General features: G+C 40.5%; 1 long non-coding RNA gene across 1 annotated transcript, besides 1 other annotated feature; it reads left to right on the top strand.

Annotated features, from left to right (window-relative positions):
• Positions 1,376–1,670: an enhancer, noted in NCBI's record as "tiled region #5011; K562 Activating DNase matched - State 8:EnhW". NCBI's record gives its function as "activates a minimal TATA promoter and a strong SV40 promoter by Sharpr-MPRA in K562 cells {active_cell/tissue: K562}" and the evidence as "EXISTENCE:reporter gene assay evidence [ECO:0000049][PMID:27701403]".
• Positions 4,511–7,021, top strand: LOC105379638 (uncharacterized). Its single transcript, XR_001742595.2, has 2 exons — positions 4,511–4,647; positions 6,916–7,021. It is a non-coding gene; the product is annotated as an uncharacterized LOC105379638 (long non-coding RNA).
• The last annotated feature ends 2,993 nt before the right edge of the window (positions 7,022–10,014 follow it).

The raw sequence follows: 10,014 nt of genomic DNA on the forward strand, positions 1-10,014 counted from the left end.
TCATAAAGCAAATCCGTGTTTCAGATATGCTGATCAATGAACGAAATATTAAGGTTGTTAGGCTTACCATTATTTTCCTCCTTAAAGCCCTATCAAAATACTAGAAAAAATAATAATAGAGCCTACAGAAATAGTGTGATCTGTTCGTCATAGATTACATCATCAACAATGTTTAGTGGGAAATAACCTCTCACCACAGACAACAAATACTTCTCGATATAAAAAGAAGATTTAAAATAATTGGGCTAGGTTGAAATTTTTTACTTAAAAATGTATTAGAAAAAAATTATCATTCATTCATTAATTAGGTATAAAATATTGTGAGCATTTAGTCAACATCTAATAAGCATTTATTGAGTAAATTAGTTACTCTCCCGTGTCAATATTGGTTGTAATGAAAATCCCAGGCATTGAATTTTCAGGGACAGATTTAATTTCTTTTTTTTTCTTTTTTCTTTCATTATTATTTTATGGGGGCAATGGAGCCTCACTCTGTCTCCTAGGCTGGAGTGTAATGGCACAATCTCGGCTTACTGCAACCTCCGCCTCCTGGACTCAAGTGATTCTCCTGCCTCAACCTCCCAAGTAGCTTAGGTTACAGGTGCCAGCCACCATGCCCAGCTAAATTTTGTCTTTTTAGTAAACAGGAGGTTTCACCATGTTGGCCAGGCTGGTCTTGAACTCCTGGCCTCAAGCGATTTGCCCACTTTGGCCTCCCAAAGTGCTGGGATTACAGGCTTGAGCCACTGCACCCAGCCAGATTTAATTTCAATACTCTTTTTATCACACTTATTACAAATAATCCAACTACTAAAATATAATAAGAGTTAACACATATTGGCACAAGAATAGATTATTTATCTTCACATAAAAGAACCTGATTTTATTTGGCTCTGGGATGGGAGGAACTGAACTGCATGTGGAGTGCAAATATGAGGTGATTGGGTACCCAAGCACGAGTCATCAGATCGTCCCCACTATTGAGCAGGAGTTGGCTGAGAGATTGGCCCAGAACATGCCTCCAAAGTTTTCTAAACTTTTTAATTTTTTAGCCTCTGTGGAATCCTTGCCAACTCTATGATTCACTTTAAAATTTTTTTTGTAGAATTTCTGGATCAATTTGGAAACTAAGACTAGAAAAGATCTGTGTTTCGTCATCTGGAACCCAGGGAGAGGGTGAGGCACGTGGAGTTCCTTGACCCCTCATCTTGCTGAAGCAGCAAGCATGGGTGAGTGCAGAGAAGCCTCACGCACTCTTGGGCTACCAAGAGCTGTGCCAACACTGTTGTGTAAGTTGGCCAGAGAGGAACCCTGTATACTGGACACTAAGTTTTTTACTTCTTCAGAATAAGAAAATTAACGCAAAACCTTCCAGCACCAAATTCAAAATTTTACACATTCTATCACTTACATATAGCTCACATAAGCATTTTATTTTTTTAGCTATTTAGAGCCTGTCTGCTTTGCACATCCCATGAGAGTGCAGTCAACATCTGCTAGCCATAGATAAGACAAACTCTGTGGTTATAAAAGACCCAAACTTCTGCTGTTCTAAGAGCTCCATGACCCGGAGACGCCCCACCTCACTGCTGAGCAACATCTTCCCTGCCCAAGTGCCACTCAATAAAGCTTGTTGTACAATACTGTCATCTCCTAGTCCTGTCTTTTCTTCAATCAGCTCCAAAATTCTTGAAACTTCCGGTGACCAATAAATATGAGGGAATTGGTACAGGACCTGGATATTTAAAATTTGCAAACTTTGCAATTTATCTGCAGGCAAAAAGAATTAAATGAAATAATAATTTCCATAATACTGCTTCAGCTGGTTTGAATCACCACCATTAATGAGTCTCACATGTGAAAAAGTAGCCCGTACCATAAGTACTCTGACAGTATAAAAGTTAGAAAGTACAGTTTATCAAGACAGCATTCATGATCTTGACTTTGGGCAGCCCCTTGTAGCAGGAAGAACCAAACTGGTGATGGGTTTATTTGTGAAGAACACCCTACCAACAGCTCCGTATACAAATGCTGGCCAAAGTATCCCAGCATCTTTAAACCAGCCTCTTGTGATCCTCAAAGATTCCAAGGTCGCATCATTGACAGGAGCATTTCTTCAGAGCAGGGCCTCCTGGATCTGCAGAGGACCTTCTGAAGAAAGGTTGGAGTGCTCTTCCCCAACGGTGTGCTTCCTGTGCACATGGATCCTGGACTTTTGTGGCTGCTGGCTCTCAGGATCTGCTCACCTCCAGCAAGTGTTTTCCCCAGGCCTCGAGTACCCACACTATTCCAAGAAATCAAGCCATTCACAGAGAAGCTTGGAGACTTCTGCCCTTGTTCAATTCTGATAGTAACCACTTATAATAACCATTGAGGTTTGACTCAGAGATGTACAGAAAATGTGCCCTGGGACCGTCTCGCAAGGTCTTTTTTTCATTTTTTGCCTTCTTTGCACAAAGAAACGTGTGTACATTCAGACTCGCATAGCTTTGGTGATTTGGAATTCATTTTTGGCCAACGCTTCACTTTTACATTGATTAGGGTGTGATTGCAGATGCTTTAGTAGGTTTAAGTAAAAAGATACTTAATACAAAGAAGTATACATATACAAAATCATCAAAGGCTGGAGAAACAGGCTCTAGGGGTGCTCTCAGAAGCACCCCTAGTGCTTCTGAGACCCCTAGTGCTTCTCAGTCACCAGACTCTTCTCTTCTGGAGTAAACCAAGGAATTGTTAAGATTGCTTCTAATAGCAGAACTGCGTTTGCCAAAATCAAGGAAATTCTCCCTACTGCTTCTGAAGCGTCTGGAGGCATCCAGAAGCTACCTTGTGAAGTCAGAAGCCACAGAATTTCAGGCTACAGATCCTTGACACTTCTATCACCAGCTATACCAACAAATGGGAACCAATCTTTCGCCATACAACTCAGCTCCAATTCAAAGTCTCCTGTGAGAGCATCCTGTTGGTGGGACTGAGTCTTATTGGAAATGTAGTGACAAAAAAGTCAAGGAAATAAAAAATAAATTCATTTTTACAAACCTCTCTACCTCATTGATTCTTCAGCTACATCTTCATAGCTTAAAGCACCATAGTTTGCTACATGTGAATTTTACTTGCACATTGCTGATAAAAGCGAAAGCTATAGCTGCAACTTATTTCTCTTTTAATTTTCTAGAATGGAAAATGTATTCTGTTCCTTCTCTCCTTAAATGTTTTCTTCAATTGCCTTTCAAAAAATGTTTTTAAATAAATATTTTTATGAGGCTAATTATTGTGACTCTCGGTCTTCTACAAGTGGAGCATCTCTAATCCAAAAATTCAAAATAAAAAATGTTCCAAAATTCAAAATTTTTTGAGGGCCACCATGGTGCCACAAGTGGACAATTCCACACGTGACATCATGCAATGGGTTGCAGTCAAAACACAGGTGTACAACAGTTTATTCAGTATCCCTACGGGAAAAAAGACTTTCCCAGCCCCCTTCAGCTGTGATATATCTTTTCCACACACATCCAGATTTCCCTACTTAAAAATGCCCACAAATGATACTAAAATGGCACGTGTGCAGGCCAGAGACATCAACAGCAGGCTCCCCACCATGCACCATGTAGATTCAAGACCTATGTGCATTATTTACTATAATTTTTGTTGCTTATTCTCTGCTCTATGGTGTAAATGTATTGTTGAAAATGTCAAAAAGGCCTGAAGATACTCCTGTGGGTAACAGTGGAAAAAGAGGAAACATTTATGTTTATTTGAAGCACAGAAAATCAAGCTGTTGGTAAAACTAGACAGCAGCATTAGCGGAAAGGTCTTACAGATGAGTGTGATGTTGGAATGACCACCATATGTATCCTTCTGAGGAAACAGAAAAATCACCATATGTATCCTTCTGAGGAAACAGAAAAATAAACTGTTGAAGTTCTTTGCTGAAAGCAATGAAGAAAAGTTAATGTAAAGAAGAAAAACACTGCTAATCAAGCTACAGATGAAAAACTCCATCTTGTATTAAAAGAATGGATGCCTCAGGATTTCACCCAACACATGCCCCTAATGGAATGCTGATCATGAAAAGTAAATATTCATCATGATGAACTGGAAATTGAAGGGAACTGTGAATATTCAACAGGCTGGTTGCAGAAATTTAAGAAAAGACACAGCATAAAATAATTGAAGACTTGTGCTAATAAAACATCTGCTGATCACAAAGAGGTGGAGAAATTCGTTGAGGAGTTTGCCAAGGTCGAAATCTGATGCCAGAACAAATCTATAATGCCGAGGAAACATCATTGCTTTGGTGTTACTGTCCCCAGAAGGATACTGACTATAGTTGATGAGGGAGCTCCTGCAGGGATTAAAAATGCCAAGGACAGAATAACTACGCTAGGATGTGCCAACACAGCAGGCATGCATAAGTGTAAACTTGCTGTGATAGGCAAAAGCTTGTGGCCTCATTGTTTTCAATAAGTGACTATCTTACCAGTTCATTATGATGTAATAAAAAGGCATGGATCACCAGGGACATCTTTTCTGATTGGTTTTACAAATATTTTGTACCAGTGGCTCATGCTCACTGCAGAGAAGCTGGACTGGATAATGACTGCAAGATTTTCTTATTCCTTGACAACTGTTCTGCTAATCTTTCAGGTGAAATTTTCATCAAAAATAATATCTATGCCATGTACTTTCCCCATATTGACTTAATCAATTTAGCCATGTGACCAGGGTATCCTTAGATCAAAGAAGAGTAAATATAAAAACGCTTTCTTGAGTAGCACGCTAGCAGCAGTGAATAGAGGCACAGGTGTGGAAGATTTTTAAAAGGAGTTTAGCATGAAGGCTGCTGATATGCTGTCACCAACACCTGGAACACAGTGACTAAAGACACAGTTGTGCATGCCTGACACAACCTCTGTCCTGTAACTATGTTCAGTGATGATGATAAACAAGGTGGTGACTTTGAATGACTCATATGTCAAGTAGAAAAAAAATGACGTCTTACCTTACATATGCAAAACATACACCTTCAGAGTCTGTCAGTAAACTGAAAGAAGTGGATAGTATAGAAGTTTTTAACATTGATAATGAAGCCCTGTTGTTTATTTATTGACCAGTGGTGAAATGGCAGAAATTGTTCTGAATTAAGGTGATTGTGATAACAGTGACGATGAAGATGACGTTGTTAACACTGCAGGAAAAGTACCTAAAGATGGCATGGTGAACATGTTTGATGGGCTTATTGAAGAACTAGAGAAGAGTGCATTCTTAAAATACCAAGCAATCATGTCAGCGTACAAAATCAGAGACTTTTGAGACAAAAACAGTTGTTAATGAGGCTGAGATGACTCTGGAGGAAACATTTAAAAAGCCACCCAGCAGAATGCCTCCTCATCCCTAGAGGACTCACTTCCTGGCCCCTCAAATGCTTTGAATGTTTTTTCCCACCGAAAAAAATAAATTCAGTGTGCAGGAACCTTTTAATCAAAACACAGCAATGTAGGTGGAGACTGGAAGCTTGCATTGTTTGTCGTTGAGGTTGTTTAACAGCTGATACACGTGTTCTGGGCATGCTACTGTGCTGCTTAGTTACCATGAACACATTTTTTCACTGTGTTAAAGGTATGCCATATTTTTTACTGCTAAGTACTTATGTGTGAGTAAGTGTAAGAAAATGATTGCTTATCAGTAGTAGCATATAAATTCAGAGTCAGGAATGATGGAGGTGCCAAACAACAAGATTGTCCCCACGGGTGGCTGAGATAGTGACACCTTTGCTTTCTGATGCTTCAATGTACACAAACTTTGTTTCATGCACAAGATGACTTTAAAATATTGTATAAAATTACCTTCAAGCTATGTGAATAAGGTGCATATGAAGCAAATGAATTTTGTGTTGAGACTTGGCTTACCTCCCAAAAATCTCTCATTTTGCATATGCATGTATACCAAAATCTGAAAAAATCCAAAATCTGAAACACTATCTATGGTCCTAACCATTTTGGAGATGTAATACTCAGTATGTAATACAAGAGTTCTTGTTGTTTTAATGTAGAAAATATTTTCTCAGACATCTATGTTCCTAAAATGTTTTGTGTTTACCTTGAATTTGAGAATTGGGGATGTTTAATTTTGACCCCTAAAAGGTCAGTGTACAGTCTTGGTGTTGCCTTTTCTTTAATGGGAGAAACAAGAAATAATCGGTTCAATACTTGAAGCCATTTTTCTTCATTTTTGCAGGGAACACGCAGCATAGTGCATGCTCTCTCTCTTTGCTGGGCTGAAGTGTTTCAAGAGCCTTTGTGGTGTCCCCTAGGGGCCCTCCCTTGAACTCAGGCGGCCCTGGAATGAATTACTGCTGACGGAGCAAAGAGCGCCCTCAGACAATGGCTCTGCGGAGTCTCACTGACCTCATTATGAAGCACAGTGTAGACTTATCATCAAAGTTATTATGCTTTGTTTCATGGGGGCTCTATTGCAATGCCTCCTCCAAAGATGGCGAGAGAGTAGAGCTATGAAGCATGCACTGCCAATCTCTGTTTCAGATGTTCTCTGCCTTAGGTGGCTAACTGGTGTCATTGTGTCAGGAAAAAGAGTGACTTAATCAAAGCAGCCCAGTGGGAAAACAGGTCTGAGAAACTAGAACTTGGGATTGCATGGATCTTGCTACCACTGATTTTGTAGGACTCAGCATGAACTGCCCTGAGCAGAGGGGGAAAGCTCTGATGTATGTTCATATTAAGGCTAAATCTATAACATAGAAATCCATAATATATAAAATATAATATCCATATAAACCAACTCACATTTTATTAACTATACACAATCTCAAATGTCTCCTTTCTCTCCCTCTCTCTTTTTTCCTTCCTCCTTTTTCTTGTGACCTGTCTTACTTTGCCACGAATGTTTTACTTGTAGCCCCAGAGCACTGAGTTCCTGTCCCGGCAACACTGGAAGAAGCACTGCGGCCGGAGCATGGTCAGGTGGCCGTAGCCCAGCAGATAAAGTGCACTCAGCTCCACCAGACCTTCTGTCTGATCCATTTGTCCTCTAAGGCCCTCTCAGCAGTGCTGAGTTTCTTTCCATGCTCAGCTTGCTTCTTTTGACAAGTTGTCGGACTGGTCTTTCCTAACTACCCTGGAAATATCTTCAAGGAAGTGGCCAGGCTTTCCTTTTTAATAAGGCCTTTAGCAGTGCCCACTATGTAGTAGACACCAGGCATTTAATTTATGCTAGTAGGATGACACTCGCAGTACTGGGAAACAAAAAGTTTTAAATGGTAAACCCTGGTGTACAAAATTGGCAGCAGCAGGATGGGGAAAGCAGGTGGGTTCTGGGGCTGTCATTGTCACAGAGGAAGAGACTGGGGGGGCCTTCTCTGTCAGGTCTGTGGGGCTTCCCAGGCCGGGGTGTTAAGGGCTTTAGAGAAAAACTGCAGGATGCTGAGCTCCACCAGCCACAGTCCCAGATTCTGGTTACTAATTTAACAATCCCAGCAGAAAAGGGACTTCTTGTGCATAATATCCATAAAGCTACCTGTATAATTCTGGGTTCTCTAGACAAAGAGAACAAATAAAAGATAGATAGACAGAGAGTAGACAGACAGACAGATAGTAGACAGATAGGTAGATAGAAGATAGATACATAGATAGAAAAAACAGATAGGTTGATAGAAAAAATACATAGTAGAAGATAGAAAATAGATGATATAGATGATTGATAGATTAGATAGATAACAGATAGATAAAGATAGATAATAGAAAAAATAGGTAGGTAGATGAAAAAATAGTAGATAGAATATAGAAGATAGATAATAGGTAGCTAGCTAGATAGAAAGGTAGATAGATGATAGATCAGTAGATAGATGATAGATGAATAGATATGTGGAAGGATGGATAGATGGATAGAGAGAGAGAGAGAGAGAGAGAGAGAGAGAGATTTATTATAAGGGGTTGGCTGACATGATTATGGAGGCTGAGAATTCCTAAGACTTGCCATCAGCAAGCTGGAAACCCAGGAGGGCTGATGGTCTTGTTCCCATGAGAGGCAGGAGGCCCACGACTCAGGAGAGCTGATGATGTCAATTCCAGTCTGAGTCTGAAGGCAGGAGAAGAGCTGTGCCCCAGCTCAAAGACAGGCTAGCAGAGCAAAATCTCTCTCCTTCAGCCTTTTTTGTTCTATTCAGGCCTTCAACAAATTGAATGAGGCCCACCCACTTTAGGGAGGACAATCTCTTGATTCAGTCTGCAAATTCACATGTTAATCCCATCCAGAAATACTCCCACAGACACTCCAGGGTAATGTTTAACCAAATATGTGCACACCCTGTGTCCCAGGAAAATTCGCCATCACACCGCCTTTGGAGGAATTCTCATTGGCCCTGCTTGGCCCCTTTGCCCACTTGGACAGTTTCCTCCTGTCAAGGCAGATGGGTCACAAAGATGGGCCAGCTTGAGTTTCAGGCCTCCCTGTAGCCTCAGGGATCTGTGGCACACCATCCCTTGGACTGGGCTCCTGAAGTCCCCCCTTCAGATCACAGAGCGTCTCGAATTCCAGAATGAGCCCTGCAAAGTGAACAGTCTTTTCCAAGCAAAACGGTCTCTTGTGGGTGTTCCTTCCTTACCACCCATCCATGCTCACTTTGGCCCCTGTGCTTTGGCTCACTTTCCCCCTTGCCCAAGGGTGACACCCCAGTATACAAATAACACCTGGGATCCAAGGCCCATGCCAGCACTCATCTCTTCCTGGACTCCTTTAGAAGACTCAACTCTGTTTTCAATGATGGAAGCTATCGAATGACCTTTTATCTGACAACTTGCTTCATCACAGTGGAACATTGCTCTTCAAAACAAACAGAGGTACAATAGTCAATACTCAGGTACAGGGAAAAAGTAAACAAATCCTAGTACCACAGGTTCCTGGTGCCTAGACTGTACCCATCAACTGAATGGTTGAGTGTTTGCTTTGAGTCTATTTCTTGAGCCCAAAAACAATATTCATAATCACTTTTGTTTTTAGAAGAATTCAAATCATTTTGTTGAATTAATTTTGCTTTGTCTTTTGGAAATAAGTTTTGTGATGATTCATTCTGTTCTTCATTTACTTTTTAAAATCCTTAGAAACTATCCACTGTGCAAGATAAGAACACTGAGAGTCTGACTAAACATCAGAGAAGACAACGCTGCTGCTTTAATCCTTAAAGTTTTCCATTAAGAAAGGATTGCCTTAAATGGCTTACATATTTAAAAAATTATTTTTTCAAGGTCTACTTTGTATTGAAAGTAAAGTAAGAAGCTAGGGTCCTGGTCTATAAATTTTAGTTTTACATTTTGATAGCTTCCATCATTGAAAGCAGAGTTGAGTCTTCTATAGGAGGCTGGGAAGAGATGAGTGTTGGTGTGGGCCTTGGATCCCAGGTGTGATTTGTATACTGGGATGTCACACCAGGGTTGAAATAAGGAGTAATGTAAGAAAAAAAATGCCTGCAAGTTCACATTGGATCAGTGGTTCAACCACATGTAAACTAACCCCTTGACTACCTAAAGTGAGGGTTGTCACTGACCATGGATTCAGGGCAATGCCCAGATTGACTGCCAATCAATCTGGCAACTCTCCTATACTGAGCAACTCTCCTATACTTTCAAAGAACAAAAGCACCTCTTACCTTAGCTTCTCACACACAGGAGCCTGTCAGCTTGAGCCAGTCAATTCCACATGGTAACTTCATGCTTTAACATAAAGACAACAAGATTGGATTCAAAGTAGCAATGATTTCTGAACATCTTATGTGTGTCACATTTGCTTTTCCTGTAAGCAAAACTCAAATATGCTTCCCTGTTCTTCTGAAGCTCACAATCCAATATGGGCAGATTACAATGTGACTTAAAAGATGAAGGGCTTATGGGTTTGTGGGAGGCTGAAAGATGGCCTCCAAAGATGTTCAGTTCCTAAATCCTAGGACCTGTGAATGTGACCTTAAGTGGTAAAATGGACTTTGCAGATGTGGTTAAGCATCAC

The sequence above is a fragment of the Homo sapiens genome, chromosome 5 (assembly GCF_000001405.40).
Source record: "Homo sapiens chromosome 5, GRCh38.p14 Primary Assembly".
Classification (NCBI taxonomy): domain Eukaryota; kingdom Metazoa; phylum Chordata; class Mammalia; order Primates; family Hominidae; genus Homo; species Homo sapiens.